We start from the raw sequence: 22,912 nt of genomic DNA on the forward strand, positions 1-22,912 counted from the left end.
ACTGGAGTGTTTGGACTTGTCCTATCTTATTTTGTGGTTTTCATTTGCCTTATTATTTATTACCTTTACCCATATTTTGTTAAATTATTCAAGCTTTCTTTGCTCTTTCCCCAGTAGTGGTTTGCACGACATGTAATCTGTTTCTCTCTGTGTTGGCGTCCACCTTTAATGTCTAGAGTCAGACAGTATCTACATTATTTCTCCTACCCTACAAATAAGAATCCGTTTGTTTTTACTTCTTTTTTGGTTAATAACATTCTTATTTGCTTGTGTTTGTCTGTAATAAATACTTACTTTTTACTTAATTTTATGAATTTCTTGGCCTCCCTGTCCCTTTCTTGGATTATTTTTATTGTGCTTTGTTTTGTTTGAAACCCTTTCAGAGAGGATTTGTGAAAAATTCAAGTCCTTATGTGTCTAAAATGTCTTCACATTTTAATGATAATTTGGCTGGATATAGAAATATATATTCAAAATCATTTTTCTCCCAACTTTGAAGATACGTTTTTCACAGATACTTGTCTGTCATCTTTTTGCTTTTAAAGTTGTTGGTGAGAAGTCTGATGCAAGACTAATTTTCTTTGTAGAACTACATTTCATTGATTCGGTGGAGCATATTTTGTTTTTTTTATTTTAACAGTTCCGAAAGTGCTTCATTAAGCAGGTTTTCTTGGGTGCTGCTGCTTCTGTTTGATGAACTTGGTTCCTCTCTCTCATTGTACTCAATTTTTCCTACGTTCTTGGGGATGTTAGTTGTTTGTTCATCTCTGTTTTTGAGATTTCCAGATACCTTGTCTGTGAATATGGTGTCTGAGTACTCTAGTGATATGGGAGAGGAGCAGGGTCATACAGCTAACTGGGAAGCCCTGGTATCTGGTCTTACTATTTGTTAGGTTGTTAATATACCTCTTGGACACCATCCCTCTCTCTGTGTTCCTAATGTCCACAATAGAGAGGAACATCCTCAACTTGATAAAGACAATCTACAGAAAACCTGGAACACATGTCTGCGTGGACATGGTTGGGGCTAGTGTAGAATTATAAGGTAGGAAATTAGTCCTCAGTTAATCCTTCTAATGGTTGTCTGGGTGCAGTTCTTTCCTGTTTGCAGTGTGCCTCATCTAGAAAAGAGCACCACAGAAGCTCCCCCAGCTGGGTTTTGGGGCTCTGGCTTCCTCTTTCAGTCTGATCCTACCTGCCTTCTACTGTTTCTGTCGTATCTAGGGATTTGGGAAAAGGGAGGGTAGCTAGATCATGCTCATGCACTATTGATTCAGTCAGCTCTCTGGGCTTTCAAGAATGTGTATTAAGTTGATTTCACAGAGTCAGAAAGGATAGGGGGAAAAAGGATCTGTGTGAAAAATCCTGGAATCTCTCATTGCAGTCTGTGGAATTCCTGTGGTAGAGTGCAGTGCAGTGGTGTACACCTGGAGAGCTCATTGCTGCTTGTCACATCAGTTTATTCAGTGGAAGAAGAGACAAGGCAATGAACCTGTGCCTGCTGGGCTAAGACAGGAGTAATGTCTTTGCTCTGAGTGACCAGGCTCTGCTGAAACCGATGGATGTCTGGCTGCTTGTCCTGTGGGGTGGCCTGCTTGTAGTGAGGTTCCAAGTGAATTTCTTGGTAAGTAAAGGTTTTGTCAGAGCAGCATTAGGAAAGAACTTACTCTTTAAAAAATGATACTTTAAAATTTTCTTCATTTTAGAAACTCTAAAATGGGAAAATTGTTTCTTAAATAATAGATTCACAACTTTTCAATAGTTGTAAAACCCTGACATTATTTATGACCTTTTTCTACTTTCCTAAAAATTCTTATTTTCAAGTTAAAATGAGTTAAATTTGGTATTGGGAACTTCGCCATCTCACCTAAGGTTTGGAGTCTTCTAGGATGTTACAGATCTGGATTTAAAAACCCTTATTTTAGGCGTTTCCTAGTATACAGACTATTTCAAAGATGAAATATTCAGTCTCTGCATTAATTCTTACTACCAATTATGCAATAATCAATGAAAGCTGAATTACTTGAAACATGGCTCCATATGGATACAGTGCAAATGTTTGGATTTAGATTAAGTCTTGAATATAAACAAAAAGCCTATATACACTCTCTACAACATTTCTCATTTGCAGTTCAGCATTTAATGGAAATTGTTTAGAGTCATGGGGTGTGTCCTCACACATATTGGTGTGTAAAAAACTAGACATCTTTTCTTTATAAATCTGTATTTTGTCCTACATTAAAATATTACTCTTTGCCTGCTCTAAGTAAACAAGGAATAGAGAGGAACATCAACTTTATAAAGAGAATCTACAAAAACCCTACAGATAACATCCTACTTAATGGTGAAAGACTGAATGCTTTCATCCTAAGTTGAGAAACAAGGCAAGGATATACATATATCACTTTTACTCAACATAGTACTGAAAGTTATATAAAGATAGGAAAAGAAGAAATAAAACTGTTTCTGCTTCCAGATGACATGAATGTGTACATAGACAATCTCATGGAATCCACAGAAAAATTCCTAGAATATCAAATGAATTCTGCAATATCACAGAATATTAGATCAACACCAAATCAATCGCTTTTCTGTACTGATAATGAACATGTAGAGACTGAAATTTAAAGTCATGCCAAAGAAAGTGAAATACCTAGATACACATCTAACAGAACACATCTAACAAAAAAATAATGATAGAAATCAAAGAAGGCGTAAATAAATGGAGAGACATGTGTTCATGAATTGGAATAAACATACTACAGATGCCAGTCTTCCCCAAATGGATCTAGATGTTTAACATAATTCCTATCAAAACTCTGCAGGGGTTTTATAGACATAGACAACATTATTCTAAAATGTATCTGGAAAGGCAAAGAACCTAGAATAACTAAAACAATTATGAAAAGAATAACGAGAGAAATCACTACCACAGACACTCTGAAAAATAGTTTGACAGTTTCTTATAAAAGTAAATATGCTCTTATAAAACTAAATATGCAATTGCACTCCTGGGTGTTTGTCCCAGAGAAATGAATACCTGTATTCACAAAAATCTGTACATGGATGTTCATAGCAGTTTTATTTATAATAGCCATAAACTGGAAACAGCCCAGGTGTTATCCTTCAACATGTTAATTGTTATACTGTGGTGTATTCATACCATGGAATACTATGCAGCAATAAAAAGGAATAAACTATTGATACAACAACTTGGATGGATTTCAAGGGGCAACAACAATCATCTCAGGTTACATGCTATATAATTCCATTTATAAAATTCTCTTGATATAACAAAACTATAAAAATGGAGAACAGATTGGTGGCTGCCAGGAATTAGAGATCGTGGTGGGTGGTGTGCCTGTAAAAAGATAGCATGAAGGAGCCTTGTGGTGATGGAGCACTTCTGTGTCTGGCGGTTATAGAAATCTCCACATGTGATAAAAATTTCATAGAAACTACATACACAAATAAATACATGTGAAATGATGAAATCTGAATAAGCTCTGTGGAGTGTACCAATATCAGTTTCCTAGTTTTGATATTTTACTGTATTTAAGCACAATGTTACTATTGGGGGAAACTGGGTGAAGAATACATGAAACTTACCTTTCCATTTGTTTTGTTGGCCACTCTTGTGAATCTATAATTATTTCAAAATGAAAAGTTTGAATATAGATACATATTATTCATTAACTGGAAGGCAAGTATCCCAGTGTGAGTGTTTCTGGCTTATTGTGTAGTGTGGTTTTAGTTTTTAGCAGTAATGCCTGATGATGGTCTGGGAAAGAAGGTTGATGTGACAGAAACACAGTATATTTTGCAGTGTTCAAATGCATTCTAACAAATATCAGTCTTACGCTGGTATTTTTTATTTTTAAAAAATAAATATAAAACCAGATAATCAGCAGAAAAATTTCTCTACTGAGGGAGAGCATTTACCCCTCACCATGTTAAAAGTATGTACTTGTATTTTAGAGCACTGATTCTTAACTTTTTCTGATTCATAATGCCTTAAAATCCTCCATAATGAGGAAGGATATAGACATATCTTAGAATTGTGTTCTTAAGCATCTTTATTTATTTGGCTTAACTTACTACGTGTAAAGAACATTTTAAAATCCAGTATGCATTTAAAAATTGCTATCCCTGGTCTATCTGAAATGAATTGCCTTGTCTTGTGAAAAGGTAAATTAATAAAATATAAATTGAGACATTCTTTATAGCTATTAACTTACTGTTTCTTATCATTTGTATAATATGCCAGCTTTTGGAAATCTTGACATATTCAAGCCAAGAGTTGTACTTAAGACTGTCATTTCTTTCTGTCTACCCTAGTCTGTGATATAATAGCTCCTCAGTAGACTCTTTCCTATAAAAGAGTCTTTTAGAGAATTTTGGAAATGGGTGTCCACCAAAAGAATTGTGATTATAGCATTAAGTATAATGTTAAGATGTTTAAATATTTTTTAAAGGATCACTCCTGCTTGTAAGATAGTACAGCCTAAGTAAGCCGTAAAACCTTTTGATAGAACTTTGAACTATTTCAGAAGGACATAAATGAAGTCAGGCCTCGTAGTGTGTGCCTATAGCCCCAGCTACTCAAAAGGCTGAGGTGGGAAGATTGCTTGAGCCCAGGAGTTCAAGTCCAGCCTAGGCAACATAGACTCCATCTCTTAAAAAAAAATTTTTAAAAAAAGGTCATAAATGAATCAAATTTTCTCTTTGGTTTATAAATAATCTGCAATTATAGCTGGGTATGGTGGCACACACCTATAGTCCCAGCTACTCAGGAGGCTGAGACAGGAGGAAGACCACTTGAGCCCAGGAGTTCTAGGCTGTAGTGTATTATGCCGGTCGGTTGCCTGCACTAAGTTGGACATTAATATGGTGACCTCTTGGGAGCCAGGGTTACCACTAGGCTGCCTAAGGAGAGATGAGCTGGCCTAGTTTGGAAATGGAACAAGTTAAAACTCCTGTGTTGATCAATAGTGGGATAGTGCCTGGAAATAGCCACTGTGCTACAAGCCTGGGCAAGGTAGTGAGGCCCCATCTCTTAAAAAAAAATCTGCAATTATAAGTTGTACAGAAATCAATAACACCTTTATTTCAGATTCCAGAGATGCTATTAATGTATTTATTTTTACAGTCCTTCCCAAGTGGCACCAAATTTGAATGTGTAGTTTCATGTCCCATTTTAAGTCATTGTTTATTAGAAACAAATGTTTTAGTAACGTTTCAGTTTTTCAGAGGACCTTCTCTTCCCAGAGGCAGAATTTGTTTAACTTTTATATTACTTCCTCTTGTACTATTTACCATTTGGATATACAGGCCCTGATGAGTTCTAGATTAGAAGACGTTAGGCTTTTGTCACAGGGACTACTCCTGACTATCGAGTTTGGGATTATCTGCTTTAAAGGGATGATTTGTGCCTCTTCTATGGTTAGGGAAAGAAGTTTGATCTACTTTAAAGTAGCACCTCAGTAAGTTTTATTAAAAATAATACCTGCCTGGTTAAGTGTGCCCAGCACAAACTGCGTTGCAGCCTGGGGCCCAGGCATAGTCACCAGTGTAATATTAAATTGTCAAGAAACGAACAACGTATCCATAGAAATGTAGCACACACCTTCTGTCACCCAGCTGCCAAATGAAATGTCACATACTCTGAAAGATACTTTATACATCTATAATGTTATCACTTGTCATATAAAACGAGAAGGAAAGAATGAAAATCTTTTCCTAAGCTTCCTGAAATTTCACACGCCTATAAGAAACAAATATTTCTGAAACCACAATTAAAAATTGATCTGGCATAAACCCTCTGTAAATAAAAAGTATTTAGAATTAGTAAAGATTCTTGAGCATGAAATGTTTATGGGAGGTATTCTATAGGTACCATATAGGTGGGTTTTTCAGTCATTTAAAAGTATTTGAGCAGACTGAAAAATATGATAGAAATCATTTATATGTTTTTTATTTTCCCCACTGATTTTTAGCTGTGGTACTTATTATTCTCACTGTGTTATAAGGCTCAGATCAAACAAAATATGTTGATACAAATGTATAATTTATTCTAGTTTAGTGGTAGGGTAGGATTTAAACTGGTGGCTCTCAGTGGTCATCATCCATCAGTTTCACCTGGGGGAGATTTTTAAAAAATACCTATGTTGCCTGGGCCCCACCCCCAGAGATTGTGATTCACATTGACTTGGCTTAGGGTCATATTCAGAAGCTTCCATGCAATTATAATATGCATCCAGCCTTGCCTACTGCTGATTTTAACCTATAGAATCAAATATTTTTAGACATTAGTGGAAAAAGATATTTTCAACATTTTAAATTCTGATGTTCTTTAAAAATTGTTTTTAACTTCTTTAAAGAGTAAACAGGAATATTTCTTTTTTGATGTTGATAATTGGAGCTTAATTTTTTTTTTCTTCCCTGCCTCCCATTTTTAACCACTCTCTGCTCATTTAGGGATAAGTGAAAACCATGTTTTAGACCCCTTGGAAATTTTTTCTGATGTGTGTCCTCAGAACCAGTGTCTGGAACTTCAAGCTAGACCCCCCTCCCCACCCCCTTGGAAACTCCTCTGCATTGATTGCTTGTCCTTTCCTCTTCCCTGAGGAGCCCAGAGACCTTCCTGCCTGCTTCCTTTCCACTGCTGTTCCCTGGAGCTTCTGATTAGTGCCCCTGGTCCTGTGCAGGTCAGATTACCACACCGCCTCATTCCAACTCATTTTCTTGGGTTCATAGTACCTTTGCAGTTTTCTAAGGGCTCTTAGTGCTTTTAACTAGAAAGGGGTTTTTCGTTTGTTTGTTTGTTTTAAAAGGGTCCTTAGTGCCTCTTACTCCCTTCCTGTAAAATCCTGTGTAAAATGACAAAAGTGCACAATTGATCATTGTAAGTTCTAGTACATGAACAAAAACCAAAAGTTAATATTTATATAAATTTCAAAGCAGAACTCATACGCTGAATCTGGGTAGTTTGTCTGAACTTCCTAATGGGGCTGACTGGCATAAGTGTGTGTATTTTAGAAAGACAACAAGAGAAAGGAGGGATTTTAGGGGCAGGTTTTCTTTCCTTTGTTCTACCACAGTTCTCTGATGTGGAAAGTTCCAGATGAGAGGAGGATCTGGGGCTTTGTGCAAGAGTATGTCGGGAATTGCAGTGGGGAGCAGCTGTAAGGAGAGAATTCCTTGGGTCAGCAGACTGAGGTAGCAGTTTCAGGTAACCCTTACTCATAAGGAAAACAATGTTTACCCTTTCTTTGTACAATTCAAGTTGGATCATATTATTCCTCTGCTGAAAACTATTTAGAGACCTTCCATTTCAGTCTGAATCAAAACCACCATCCTCACTGTGGCCAACACAGCCCAAAAGATTGGCATCTCCATTTCTTCCCAGACTTTCCTCTCACTACCTTCCTGGTTGCTCCTTCGGCTCCAGCCACGCTGCCTCCTTGCTGTTAGGCACACTCCAAGCCCGGTCCTACCTCAGGGCCATCCATCTCCCTCCTCTGCCTAGCCACTCTTGCCCCTGATTTTCTTGCCCACATGTCACCCCTCAGTGAGGCCTCAGCTTCTTCTCCAGAGGTGTAGGGCCCCAGCACTGCCTGTTATCTTTCCCCACTTGACTTGCATCTCTGGGCTCTGTTACCTCCATTTGTGAAATGGGGTTCATAGTTCCTGCCTTTAGGATTATTGAGGGGATTAGATGAATGAATACATGTAAAGTACTTAGCATAACGCCAGACACAAAATTAGCCCTCAGTCCATCAGATGTCACTGTCTCAGTGCTGCTGCTTTGGGAAACGTCATGGGATGCTTTATGTTTCTATGGTGTTGCTGCTGTGGTCCCAGAGGGACACTTAACATTAGATCCTGGCCTTATTTTCCTTTCCTGCCTCTTTCTCAATGTGGGAGGAAGAGTATCCGAGGTACCCTTGTCCCCTTTGGAAATTTGTCCTCGGGAATTTCTGAAATGTTGGCTGCCGTGGGAAAATGGGGAGGAAGGGCAGGCCTGGGACCTTTGCTCCTGTGGTTTTCTCACATGTTTTTAGTTGTATTTAACTTTCAGAATGTTATGTTATTTGTATTTAGGGAATAGGTTAACTTCTAAAGTAGGGATTTTTCTTTCTTTTTTAAAATGTTAGATAAAAAAAAATGAAAGTCTTGGTGTTTATTTGATAGCAGGTTAGTTTCTTAGAACTTCAGAAGGGCTTTTCAAACCACTCAAAACAGTAGCTATTTTAGTACAAAAATACATATGGAAGCTGAATCAACTTACATTCACCTTAGGTCATAACATGGGAAACCTTTAGGGAGTTGAAAATATTAAATTTTCTTTTTTTTTTTTTTAAACTTTTTGAGGTAAGAAATGTATGCCTGTTGAAGAAGAAAGATAAGTTTGCAAGACAAAAAAATCAGCATTAGAGCAAACTTTCTAACACAAATTTGGAATTGTGTTATTCGCATTGCATGTTGCCGAACAGACTGAACTGTTAAAAGTTGTTTTAGCGTTTTAGAATGTACTAAAGAATCGAGTCCGGCGTGGTGGCTCATGCCTTTAATCGCAGCACTTTGGGAGGCCGAGGCAGGTGAATCACATGAAGCCAGGAGAGTTCGAGACCAGCCTGGCCAAGCAGATGAAACCCCATCTCTACTAAAAATACAAAAATTAGCCAGGCGTGGTAGCGCATGCATGTACTCCCAGCTACTCAGGAGGCTGAGGCAGGAGAATGACTTGAACCTGGGAGGTGGAGGTTGCAGTGAGCTGAGATCGTGCCACTGCACTCCAGCCTGGGCGACAAAGCGAGACTTTGTCTCAAAAAAAAAAAAAAAAAGAATCAGTTTGTTTGTTTATATGCAGGCTGCTATGCTTGATCACTCTCTTGTGCTCACTGAGATGGGCCAGGTGGGACTAGTTAGTGACCGGTCTCAGTTCCTGGAGAGTCCCTGTCCCAGCATGTTAGGAGGTTGCATGTGTGGTCATCAGGTTGATCTATTAGCCTTATATAGGGTTGTAATAAGAAAGTATTTCTAGTGTAGTGTAAACAGTGCCTAATTTAATATTTTTAAAATTTTAATTTAGAATTATTTTAAACTCTGAAACCTAAGAAAAAACATTACAAGTTCTCAGCCTTTGTAATACTGTATCTGGTAAGTCGGAAAACAAGACCTTTTAGAGTGAGACGCTCTTCGTAGATATATCGAAATCTCGGCACCTGGAATGCAGCCAGGCACAGAGTAGGCATACTATTTTGCTGGGTGTAAAAATAAAAGAGGGGCTGTGGATGGCTAAAAAAGGAGGATGATGAAGTTAGGAGAATGCATGCCCTGATTGCTCTTTCTCTTTGGAATTGGATGGGGCGGTGCCAAGCCTGCCTCACTCCAGATGGCTCACTTGTCCCCCTTGCTCAATAGTAAGGTCCTTGAGAGAGGGGACCATGTGTTTGTTTATATTTTGTCAGTGTCCTGTCACCTGGCAAACGTAACAAGCTCATAATATTTATTTAAATTAATGTTAACAGAGATGAACCAAGGAAATGAAGATTACATTAATTGTGGTCACCCTCTGTGGCTCTTCCCAATCTCTTTGCTGATGTCGTAATTCCTTTTCCTTGCCTTGTATCTGTTATATTTAATGAGTCCTAGACTCTTAGAGGACCCAGTGAAAGCTGTGATTCCTGTTTTCAGAGAGATACAAACATGCATTTTGGGTTAGTTTCAGAGGTGTTTATTGAACACTATGAAGCCCTTTTTTGGATCTGATCTTGCAAGCTTATGAGGTTGAGAAACAAGTGGACCCGCAACTATTTGGATGAACACAAACAGTTTTGAAATAAGCTTTGGAACATAAAATACACATGTAAAATAGTGTTCTTATTTTTGTGCCTTTGAATACGTGACTCATTCATTGCTGTTTTATATACTAGATCTCCCATTTTCCCTATTGTGTTTTAAATTTCATGGATATGACTTGAGTAGGAGATTGTAATGGAAAATTGGAGGTAAGGTTATAAATGGGTCTGTTTCCAAAGGAAACATCAAGTCATTGGGTACAGTATTCTTTTTATTTCCTAAAGTCAGACAGACTTGTAGATGTTTGGTATATTTTATATGGTTTTCTTAAAAACCCATTTTGTATAACAGAGTTCGTATGCGTCAACTCTCCACTGACATTTGGAGGCCCTTGTTAGGGTTTAAGAGAAACAACATGGATTGGGAGCTCCAGTAGGTGGAAGGAAGCCCCTGAGATGGTGTGACTGATTCATCACCACGTTCCAGGTTGTGATTCTCAGCTTTGTATTCAGTAGTGATTAGTTTCTAGAGGACTGAAACTGGCTTAACAAAGTGTTTTGTATATATACTAATGAATACACTAGAACACCAATCAGTTGATTTACAATGAGACGTATTAAATGTTAGTCAACGCCAAGCTTGTATTGTATCAGAGTAGCTGGGTTTTTTTTTTCCCCAAATTTACCTATTTTCAGAGTTTTAATAAGATATTCTACCAAAAAAGCCTGTTTATTAGTGCATAATGTAAGTTGATTAGGTTTAATCATTTTTAGGAACATTTGTGATCCATTGAAACTCCTGAGGTCACACTTTTAAGATTCTTATATGAATTTTTGCTTTAGATCTAGAAAGGGCTCTTCATGACTTTGAATTTTAGCTCATGTATTCCTGTTACTCCCAAAACTTTACAAACATGATTTTTTCAAGGTTTTTTTTTTTTTTTTTTAAGTTATTATAGCAGAACCTTCATTTGGCTGAAACCCATTATGTTCCATCTGGAGGCAGAAGATTCTCTTGGTTTTAGATTAGTTCTAGTTTTGTACTCAGTTATCAGTTTGTGAGGTGAGGTACCTTGCCCTGTATCCCATTCAAGGCTGTATTATCAGTGTCAGTAAACAACTTCATAAGAATTTCTTGGGTTTACCATCTAGCTTCAGTATCAAAATGAATTTATTAATTAGTAGAGGCAAGAATAGAGAGAGAACTTGAGTGTCCCCTGACTTTGTAACCTTTGACTCTTCCAGCTGTTGTCAGGAGAACAAAGGGGACAGCTTTTCTTATGGTAAGGAGTCTTTCCAAAATTGTTTTTATGTTACTTTATGTAAGATAAACAATCTTCAGAATCCTTAGCTATCCATGAATCTTACCAATTAGAGGACTGCCTATTGATCATTTACCAGTTTTTGAGTTGTCCTAAACCCAGGAGAGCACCAGGAGGCAAGCAAATAAAGACTCCTGGTAGATGAAATGGACTGTCCTAAGTGCATGTACAAAGCTCATGTATTTTGCTCGTAGCTGTCATTCAGGGTCTCACTCAGACCCTTATTTAGTTAATTTTACGTATAATTCTAGCAAGTTCAGTAAATTCGTATTTCCAGCTGTCAGCTGATAGGTAACAGGGACCTCCTAAAGTCAAGTGCCCTGACTGATAGCAGCAAGATGAGAAAGAATCATGAAATCATCATCAAAAACTTAAAAAACACGGTGTGCGCCTCTCCTTGCCACCTGAAGTCCGAGTGTTTAACAGTGCTTATGGGCACCTCTGGAGGTAAGGCGAGGCGCCTACTTACCATGGAAGCAGCTCTAAAAGGGGAATCTTTGATGGAAGATAAGATGGAGGCATCTTTTAAAGCCAGGTGGTTGTTACTTTCTGTGTGACTTAATGAGCAGGTGAATTTTGGCAAGTCCCAGGACACAAAGTGCGGTGGTGCTGTCTCACCTAGGTCCCTTCATTGCCAACTTTTTAGGTTTCATTATGATTATATCTCAGCACCTAGCACAGCGCCTGGCAAATAGTGCTGCCGCACATTTGTTGAATATACATATCAGTGTCTGCTTTGTGGCTTTTTGGCATAGAGACTGATGCCCCCAGGGGCACTGCTGTATCTTAGCATGGTTCTTCAGCTGGTCATTCTGAGTGATGCAGAAAAAAGAACAGGGTCTAATCATTTTAAATTCCTCTATTATTAGACAACATAAGAGGAAGAATTAATTAATTGACTGGAAAAATTCAACATTTGGAGAAGAAATGATTGATTTCTATGTATGTCTATTTCAAAATAAATTCCAGGTGAATTAAGGATTTGTATGTGAATAATTAAGAACAAAGTGAATATTCATATGATCTTGACCTTTCTAAGAAAGAGTCATAAGAAAAAGGGTAGTAGCTTTGATTACAGTTCGTGGATGTAGTACACATATTATTCGAAACAAAATTATAATGCAAACAAGTTGGGGCAATATTTGTAATATAGGAAATGGTTACTATTCTTAAGGTAGAAAGAGTTCTTACAAATCAATGACAAACTCCCCTATAGACAAATGAAAAGAAAATTTATTAAAGAAGTTATGTAACTAGCCAGTAAAAGAAGAAAAAGTTTAACCTTGCAAATAATTAGAGTATTCAGGACTTAGTAGAAAAGCTACAATGATAAAGACTGTATTGGTAGGCCGGGTGCAGTGGCTCATGCCTGTAATCCGAGCACTTTGGGAGGCCGAGGTGGGCAGATCATGAGGTCAGGAGATCGAGACCATCCTGGCTAACATGGTGAAACCCCGTCTCTACTAAAAATACAAAAAATTAGCTGGGAGTGGTGGTGGGTGCCTGTAGTCCCAGCTACTCAGGAGGCTGAGGCAGGAGAATGGCGTGAACCCGGGAGGCGGAGCTTACAGTGAGCCGAGACCGTGCCACTGCACTACAGCCTGCGCGACAGAGTAAGACTCCGTCTCAAAAAAAAAAAAAAAGACTGTATTGGCAAAGGGTAGACTGATAGATCAGTGAAATAGAATAGAAAGTCCATAAATAAACCTACACATATGTGGCCAGTTGATTTTCAACAAAGGTGCTAAAGCAATTCAATGGAGAAATGGCCGTTTTTTTCAGCAATGCTGTGGCAACAGTTGGATATCCATATGCAATAAAATGAACCTTGATCAGTACCTCACGCCATGTGTAAAAGCTCGATCTGTGTCATAGACATACATGTAAAATGAAAAACTATAAAACTTCTAGAATAAAACATAGGGGATCTTTGCAACCTTAGGTTAGGCAAAGATATTTTGTACAGTACCAAGAGCATGATCCAAAAAAGAAAAATATTGAATAATTCACCAGAAAAGACATAATATGGCATATAAGCACATGCAGATGTTCCACACCATTAGTCATTAGGGAAATGCAAGTTAAAACCACACCTATTAGAATAGCTAAAATTTTTAAAACTGACAATACCAAGTGCTGGCAAGGGTGTGAATGGAGCAATTGAAATGCTCATACATTTCTGGTGGGAATGTAAAATCGTATAACCAGTTAGAAAAATCATTTGGCAGTTTCTTAGAAAGATAAACATACACTTACCCAGCAATGGCCCAGCAAACTCACTCCTAGGTATTTACCCAAGAGAAATGAGAATTTATGTTTATACAAAAGCCTGTACACACTTTTTTTGTGACTTTATTCATAACTGTCCCAAACTGAAATAAATGGTGGAACATCTACACAATGGAATACTACTCAGCCATGAAAAATGGTGACCTATTGATGTGTACAACAACATGAGTGAATCTCAATGCATTATTGAGAAAAACCAGACTGCAAAACAGTCTGCATTATTGAGAAAAACAGAGACTACGTACTCTGTGACTCCATTTCTAGGCAAAACTTGCAAGGACACACAATAGCTGTGGTTGTCAGGGGCTGGGCTTGGGGAAGGGATGACTACACAGAGGCACAAAGGAAATTTTGGGGTAACACAGCTGCTCTGTATCTTGATTGTGGTAGTTATGTGACTGCATTTGTCAGAACTTGGAGAAATGCACCCTAAAAATGGTGAATTTTGTTGTATATAAATTATACCTTAAAGAAATTAGGGAAAAAATAATCAGGCCAGTATACATTGAAACAGATCTTTATAATTTTACCTAATAGGCTAATAGTAAGGATTATCTATGGTGTTGGTGAGGATGGGGCCCTCCCACAGGCTGCTAATAAATCTTACTGGCGTTAGGCCGGGCGTGGTGGCTCACGCCTGTAATCCGAGCACTTTGGGAGGCCAAGGCGGGTGGATCACAAGGTCAGGAGTTCAAGATCAGCCTGGCCAACATGGTGAAACCCCGTCTCTAATAAAAACTACAAAAATTAGCCAGGCCTGGTGGCACATGCCTGTGGTTCCGGCTACTCCGGAGGCTGAGGCAGAAGAATCGCTTGAACCTGGGATGTGGAGGTTGCAGTAAGCTGCGATCGTGTCACTGCACTCCAGCCTGGGTGATAGGGTGAGACTCTGTCTCAAAAAAAAAAAAAAAAAAGAATAAATCTTACTGGCATTAAATATGCACTGCTTTCATAATCTGAAAGAAGTAAGTGTTAATTTGAAAAACAGGAGATGTGTGGTTATATTTGAGAGAACTTTTCTAAACTTTTAATACGAAGGAAAATCTGAAAGTTATAATCCTACATGGAACCAACCAGGTTGTGTATTTATTGTAATTCCTAGAAAGATATACTGATTTTTTTAATACAGGAAAATAGGTTGCATACATTTTAAAACCACATGTCTAATTTAGGTGTTATGCATGGAGAACTAGCCAAAACAAACATTTCAAGAGCTAATATTTTGAATTTTGAAATTTGTTATATTAAATTTGCTATTTAAAGTTCATTTCTCTTTACTCTCAAATGAGGAAGTTAGTTTCCTGGCAAGCTTAAACATTTTAGAGAAACCTGCATAATGTATCTTCTGTTAAAGAACATACCTTGCTTGATTTTTATCCCCAGTGCCCAGAAAGCTTTGTTTCATTAAACTTTCTTTGCTTTTTGAAAGAGAACCCATTTTCTTAGCCTGCCATTTGCAGCAGGTGATTTTTATCAACTGGTGTTTTAATAGCTTGTATATTCATCTTATGTTAGCACACCTCAGCCTCACACAAAAGACTGTGTTTTTTGGTTTTGTTTTTTTTGTTTTTGAGACGGAGTCTCGCGCTTTCACCCAGGCTGGACTGCAGTGGCGCTGTCTTGGCTCACTGCAAGCTCTGCCTCCCGGGTTCACACCATTCTCCTGCCTCAGCCTCCTGAGTAGCTGGGATTATAGGTGCCCGCCACCGCGCCCGGCTAATTTTTTGTATTTTTAGTAGAGACAGGATTTCACTGTGTTAGCCAAGATGGTCTCGATCTCCTGACCTCGTGATCCACCCGCCTTGGCCTCCCAAAGTGCTGGGATTACAGGTGTGAGCCACCGTGCCCGGCCCAAAAGACTGTGTTTTTAACATCAACTTAAGAAAACATCAAAATACTCCACTAGCTGTCAAACTAAAACGTTTAGTTGATGGACACTCCAAATTTATAAAATGCTGATTCATATAGGTCTCTAATCTAGTTGCATTTGACTGACTAGACAAATAGAATTGGACATTTTTAGATGTGGTGCTAAATTTAAATGTTTCTTCTTTCTAGTTCGAAGTTAACCATATAATAAGCCTAAAAATTGCATTGCATTTGTCATAATCTTGTGGGAAATTTGAAATGTGAAATCACTGCTTGAAACTAAATTTAAAAAGCCACTCTGTATCCCTGGTGAAGCAGTTCTCCAATGGGTCCCCCCTTGGATGAGTATCCATATTGAAACTCAGCTAAGCAGCCATCAGAGGATTTGAACCAGGTCTCTCTGAAGCTTTAGGCCAGGCATGCTATTTTCATTAGGCCACACTGAAAGAAATCGCCCAAGTATGATGTTTTCGCCATCTTATCTTTCCGTTTTCATTTGTACTTTTCCTGAGTGGTACCAACAGCAGGTTTGTAAAATGATTTTATGAAGGAATGCTGAGTTGGAAGGGTGTCTGCTGCTTGTCTGGTTTGGATTTGTGTGAATGTGTGCAGTCCCACAATATGTGATTGATAACACTTTGACTTCTTGAACTTTTTCTGTTTTAACTTGAAAAAACAAGTTTGCACAGGGCCTTAAAAAGGTGACTGAAATAAACTGCAGCTTATCTTCCCTGATTTATCCCACCACAGTCTGCTCTGAGCACTTCTTAGTCTCCTTTTCTTCTTAGCTTTGTGTATGTGTGTGTGTGTGTAGGATTGGGAATAACCACCACCTTCCTCTGTACCCTAAAACTCTGCTTTAGCTGTCTTTTGAGGGGGCCCCACAATATTTGCAGAACTCTTTTGAAAAATTTCAGGTTTTCATTCAGCAAACTTGTGTTGAGCAGGCCCTGGCTGAGTGTAGACTAGGGCCTGCTCAACAGAAGGCCCTATTCTGTGCTCAAGGAGCTCCAAGTATTGGAGGGAAATAGAATATCTGTAATCACAGCCCATTGTAATGATGCTGAAATTGTTAGGTAGCCCAGGTTTCTGAGTTGGAGGGCAGTGTGGGAAGACCTTGGGGAAGATGAGGATCATTGGAGGATTTGAAGCACATCATAGAATTGGCAGTGCCTTCTTGATCTGGAAGTCAGAGGACCCTCAGAGTAGGGAGTCTGGGATGTCTCCTAAGTTTAGACTGTACCCACCAGGGTAGATGGGGAGAAATAAACTTGGGGGAAAAAAATGATAAGCTTAGTTTTAGCAGCATTGATTTTTGAAGTCCCCAAGGGACATTTAGATGAATTAAGATCTGGGAAAGGAGTGTTTTAAAGTAGGTATCAGATGATGGCATTCGTTCTTTCTAGGGGAAAAGGAAACATTTCCCTGTTAAATAATAAAACCTTGCTTCTAACTAGAGTATCGATAAAACCAGGAATACTAGACATATCAGAAAATAGATCTAAAAAACTTGTCCAAGTTCTTCATTCCTCTTCTGCTTCTTTCGTATGCTGTTAGTTCAGATGATCTGACAGTTTTCTACTTTTGGAATGCTTTCTAGTCATGTTCCTTAAAACTAACCACTGATCTTGTTTTACAAGAAAGAATCTTTAGTAACCAAAGCTCTACATGATTTTGAATGCAGACAAGTAGTTCTTCTGTGTAAATAGGAATTCAGATGGATAAACATGGGCAATTAGGTTTCTCAGTGTTGTACAAAAAGCAAAGGTCTTAGGTTTTATTATAGAACTCCTGGGACCTACACACTTCTGAAACAGTACTTGCTATTCTAAGAAAGCATTGCCTTCTACATTAGTGTTAGGTCATATGTCAGTGTCTTGTGACCGTAGTTGGAACTGAAAAGTGATTGCATAAATCCTGGCAGCTGTGAAGTGGTCTTGTAAAAGGTGCCCCTATTTTATCTGCTGTGGTTTTAGAACATTCTAGTTCTATTGCTTCTTTCATTATTTATGGCTATACTGATAAAAGAAAGCTGATAAAAGGAAAAAAATAGAGGTTTCTACCTAAAATCCTTCTTCTGGACTTCCCATTTTTATTATTTTCTAATCCTCCTCTTTTGTTGTATAGATAATTCAGTTTAGAAATGACTTTTTAGGAAACCTCTCAGTAGTCCTGAAGTCCCCTCCCCACCCTGTTGGCATTTGCTTTTCCTCAGATGAATGATTAGCATGTTCTTTTATTCTGTTTTGTTTTCATTTTGATCTTGAACTCTACCCCAACCCTAGAAATAGCATAATTCAGTTATATTATATAGACCTGCTGAGTGTTAGCCAGATGAGACTTCAGTGCTCATTTCTGTGACCTTATTTCCAGCTAGCTTGAAGGCAGCCAGTAAGGGGAACTTGTAACTCCCACCCTTTATATTATGAAAAACTTCATTATCTCTTTACTCCTTCCCATAGTTCCATGAGTTGGGTTTTTTTTTTTTAAACCAAGCCAATTACATTTATTAAATATTTCCTTTTTTTCATTTTTATTAACCAAGTGCCTATAGCTGGGTCTGAAATAAAAACATACACTTCAGATAGTTGTATCTATATGATATTTGATTCAGATGGTTGATGTTTGTTAACCCGTGGATCTTTAATATGAAGAGACAGTTCCATTAACATTTTTTGGAAATGATTATAATAAGGTCCCCTGTACATTTCGCTCCATTACACCCCCATCCCCCATTTACGGTTTCAGTGATCCCTTGCAGTCTTAGGATCTCAAGCTGAGGCTGTGGTCTATACCTTAGGAGTTTGTAGTTTTGTTAACACGGTTTTTTTTTTTTTCTTATGGAAAAAGATAATTTAAAATATTCTCTAAAATGAATGGTTTTTCTTTTTTCTTAAGAGATGGGGTCTGGCTATGTTTCCCAGGCTAGAGCACAATGGCTATTCACAGATGTGGTTTAGCACACTGTGGACTCAAATTCCTGGGTTCAAGTGATCCTCCCACCTTAGGCTTCCTGCTAGCTGGGACTGTAGGCATGCACCACTGTGCCTGGCTTAAAATGAATGTTATATTAAGACAGGTACCACTTCCCACCCCCATTTGTGGAGGAATATGGTGGATAATTTTTGTTGATGCCATTCTTAGTCCTATAATACCAGATGTCTAGTTCTGGGGACCCAAGCTCCTGAATCATCACCTTTTTTTAAAAAAAACCTGAATTACTAAGAATAAGAAGCTTTCCCTGTTTCTTCTCTCTCCCATCTCAAACTGTGTTGGCTTTGTGCCTGCTTGAACTTACCTACTGTCTGTTTCCCACATCTGTTTCACTAATTTCCACTGGAGCATCCTTAGTGGCTTGGGAGGCTTGTAAGGGCAAGGGCATCTCTTACTCATCTCTGTCTGCTATGCCAAGAACAGTGCCTGCCACAGATGAAGCAGGGCAGGGCAGCAGCAGCCACCTTTGAATGTTTTCTCTGTGCTGAATACTTAGCATGGATTCTGTTTTAATTCATTTAATGTCCACAGCAGCTTTACAAGAAAGTAGATTACTATTAGTACTTCCATTTTAAAGATTGGGAACACATTTTAAAATAATTTGGTTAAAGTCGTAGCGCTCTGTTGAGTGGCCTGTTTTTATCTCTTTCCTTTGGCCCTTGGGATGAAAAAGTAAAATTATTCAAAGACAAAAGTAAAGTAAGAAGAGAAATAAAAAGTCTGGAAAATGAGGTGGATGGATCATGAGGTCAGGGGATCGAGACCATCCTGGCTAACACAGTGAAACCTCGTCTCAACTAAAAATAGAAAAAATTAGCCGGGTGTGGTGGCGGGTGCCTGTAGTACTAGCTACTCGGGAGGCTAAGGCAGGAGAATGGCATGAACCTGGGAGGCAGAGCTTACAGTGAGCCGAGATCGCACCACTGCCCTCCAGCCTGGGTGACAGAGCGAGACTCCGTCTCAAAAAAAAAAAAAGTCTGGGAAATAAATATATGGAATAAATGGCCCCTTGAATAATCACATTGCCTCAGTGGGAGAGTCATTTGCCCTCTCTGAAACTTAGTTACCCTGCTGTTCTTTTCTAGTTTAAATGCTTCAAATTATGTCATTTAGCTTAGCCAACTACTTGACATAGAATTGTATTTCTAATTTTTTCAATCTTTTAGCATTTCTATATTTAGAAATTATTTGAGCCCTAACTGAAAACTGTGGGACTGTATATTTATGTTGCTTTTCTTCTTTTTTATTATTCTAATCATGTATCACATCATAACAAGCCGAGTGTGTTAAGGGGATTGGACAAATCATCCTGAAGAGAAAATTTCCAAATAATTGGACTTCTTGTTGTTTGTGAGGCTAATCTTTAACAGAAAAAGAAAGTTTTCTTCGGTCAAATAAGAATGTTGGGTAATTGTTAGTTGATATTTATATTATTCATTATATTTTTAAAACATTATTTTGAATAATTGCACTATCAGATATCCAGTTTGGCATGGACAAGAGGTAAAAAACCAAACTAGTTTATGTACAGTTATAGTATGAGATAGTAGTGGAAATAATGTCATTAAACTCATTTTATAAAAGTTGATGTTTTATAGGACTTATATGGAAAGATATGAATTTATTGTATTTCAAATACATATGTATTAGTGGTTAGGTATGATTATAAGTAGTCGCATTAAACATTGTCAATATTTGAACAATAGAAGAAAAAGTTTTTAACTACCTGGATGTTTATTGTTTATGTATTTTCATTGTCAGCCATTTAAAATCACCCCTTTTTTTTGCTGTGGAGGGATAGCCAAGTATATATTATTTTTTAAAACTTGGTAGGTTTCCCTCCTTGGATAATGGACATAGTTGGAAAGGTGGCATTTACTTTACAGTGAATTTCTAAAACATAACTTTTTGTAAATGAAGTGCACATTGCAATAAAGGGAGAATAATTGTAATTGCCACTTGTTCACAGTGGTGGCTTGGGAGTTGGGACAAGTGACCCAAAATAGCAGATTTGAGTGGTACAAAGAGGAGGATTTAAGTTAAACATAAACTATATAAATTTCCTTTAAAAAATCTTAATAAGGTACTACTTCGACTGGGGTTATAAATTCGTTTCACTGGCTATTTAAAGAATAGATGTGACTAGTCGCCATTATTAAGATATGTTTGATTTTTGAATGGGGATGGCTCTCTGGATTCCAAAGTCAGGGCAAAGAAATGACAGTGAATGGAGTGGACTCCTGAGTCAGCTTGCTGTCCTAGGGCAGATAATGCATGCATTCAAAAAGCAATGTCAGACCTCTTAGGGAGACTGCAGAGCCAAGGGTTTGGACTGAATGATCCATAGGTCCCTTTCATCTTCAATTACGTAAATGTTTAATTTCAGTCTGCTTTTTTCATCTGATTCATTAGTTTCCATCAGAGTATCCTTAGTAAAATTTATTGTACGTATTAAAAAATCACATTGTATGTAACTTTTGGGTTTCTGCCTTTGTTGCCAATCTTTGTTTAGTTTGAACCAAGGAAAAGATATTTTATTAAGTTTTAATTATCTTGGGAAATAACATGGAACCTACATTATTTTGGGTGTTTTAAGTTTAAATGGAAACAGCAGTTGAATGTTAACAGATGTGATGACAAAGGCCATGTGGTCTGCCCTTCCATTCTCTTTTAAGCCTTTTGTGGTCTAGAATACTTCTTGAATTCGTTTCTTATTATGTGAATGTTTATATTATCATGCCTGTTCTTTAGTTTCTGGAATGAATGAATGATTTGTGATGCCTTTCCTAAGTCCTTTTCATCTTAAAAATTTTTTTTCATCTGAACAAAAGATCATTTTCCCATATGATTGATGGGTTTGCTTTTTATTTAATGATGAAAGAGGTAAGGAGTTGTTTGTTACTGTCAGAGTTCGTCTAATGCTAGAGTTGAGAGGTCCTTAGATGTCAGCTAGCCCAGCCTTACCATTGGTGCAGAAATGCCTTATGCAAAATTTTAGACAGATGTTTGCCCTGCCTTTGCTGGAATACTTTTAGTGATGGATAACTCACTGCCTTTTCTGGTATTGTAACGGCTCCATTGAGTAGTTCCCCATTTTTTAGCTGAAATGTGTCTCTTAAGTAACCAAGTTTCATCCTCTGGAGTAATATATAACCAGTCTTTTTCCTGATTGACTATATTGATGGCCATGTTTCTTTCCTCCTTGAGCTTTAATTTTCTTGCGTATAAAATGACATGAGTTACATCACCTGGTTACCTCACTAGCGTTGAGGTAAAGAACAACTTGACATAATTGTGACCTTAGGCAAAATTCTTTTCCGGTCTCAGAGTATTAATATATTAGTTTTATTTCTGGTATATATTCTAATGGGAAAAATAGCAGTGTGTTGTCTGTTGGCTTGGGCACCTGGATACTTTTCAGTTGATATTATTGCTCTGTTACCAAAGGCATTAATTTGTCTCTTCATCGAACATTTATTGACCATTCACTGTGTACTAGCAATTACTGTAAAAACATTGAAGAAGATAGACACCTTCCCTGCCCTATTGGGGCTTCTTTTCCTTCATGGATGTTTGTACTTTGAGATATAAATGCTTTTGACTGCTCAAGATAAAATAATATTGTTAGCGCACTTTTAATGTTTTTGGTTTTCTAATTAGTCCAATATTTTAAAGTATGTCTTTGATTTATAGATATTTGGAGTCTGGGAGTGATCCTTTTCATGTTGGTGTGTGGGCAGCCGCCCTTTCAAGAAGCCAATGACAGTGAAACACTGACAATGATCATGGATTGCAAATATACAGTACCATCCCATGTGTCTAAAGAGTGTAAAGAGTAAGTAAAACAAAGTATGTGGAAACCTTAAGGACTCAGATTAAAACCAGAAGTTTTAATTCCATTAATATGTCAAGAAAATTTGAGAGGACTTCAAACATCCAAGCATCTGGGTTGATTTTAATTTTTGAATTTAATATTTCTGCTGTTGTTTCAGAGTGTTCGGTCGGCGGGGGTGGGGGTGGTTAGCCCCTGAATATGATCTGAAATTTAATATTAGAGTACAAAATGTATTCATCTATTTCTTATTCAAGAAATCTATTACATGCCTCTTCAACCTTCAGGAGTGGTGGTTATTTCACTTGAACTGAAGAAATACCATGGGAACTACCTTTCTCTGCATGAGCAAAAAGCAAGATCACCTGGAATTGTTTTAAGTTCCAGAGAAGAGTTAGGGCATTTTCTTTCCTGAATAGACCATCAACACACTATTTTAGGGTTTACATAGTATGTCTCATAATTTTCTTCACACACCTTCTGCTAATTGACTAAAGAGCTGTTTAGGTTTATGTGACTATGGGAAGCCAGCATAAAAAGTATACTCAATTATTTGGAATTTAAAGTAGTACATAGTACTATGATATGTGTAGTGAGAAATATAGTAATGGAATAGAACTGTTGGAAGTTCAGTATTGACATTTTAAGTGACATTTTTTAATGAGCTCAGCTGAGATTATAGCCACTACTTACAGGACTTTGCTGTAGAAACAGAGTTTTGAGTTTCTCCTATCAGCTGGTAAGAAGGAAATCTGATTGCCCAAGGACTTTTTTTCTCTAAATGAAGCCCCATCTCAGGTGGA

The 22,912-nt window shown here is 37.7% G+C and overlaps 1 protein-coding gene and 1 pseudogene across 7 annotated transcripts in view, besides 1 other annotated feature; both read left to right on the forward strand.

Moving 5' to 3' along the window:
* SNRK (SNF related kinase) overlaps positions 1–22,912 on the forward strand; it is a 64,604-nt gene that overhangs the window by 23,659 nt on the left and 18,033 nt on the right. For all 7 annotated transcript variants that reach the window (XM_047448396.1, XM_005265245.4, NM_017719.5 and 4 more), the window contains one exon: positions 21,971–22,112. In XM_047448396.1, coding sequence (XP_047304352.1) covers positions 21,971–22,112 — 142 coding nt within the window. The remainder of the gene's footprint in view (positions 1–21,970; positions 22,113–22,912) is intronic.
* Positions 4,753–5,057, forward strand: RN7SL517P (RNA, 7SL, cytoplasmic 517, pseudogene; annotated as a pseudogene).
* Positions 15,905–16,105: a silencer, noted in NCBI's record as "peak4622 fragment used in MPRA reporter construct". NCBI's record gives its function as "represses an SCP1 promoter by STARR-seq MPRAs in K562 erythroleukemia cells {active_cell/tissue: K562}" and the evidence as "EXISTENCE:reporter gene assay evidence [ECO:0000049][PMID:32103011]".

The sequence above is a fragment of the Homo sapiens genome, chromosome 3, assembly GCF_000001405.40.
Source record: "Homo sapiens chromosome 3, GRCh38.p14 Primary Assembly".
NCBI lineage: Eukaryota > Metazoa > Chordata > Mammalia > Primates > Hominidae > Homo > Homo sapiens.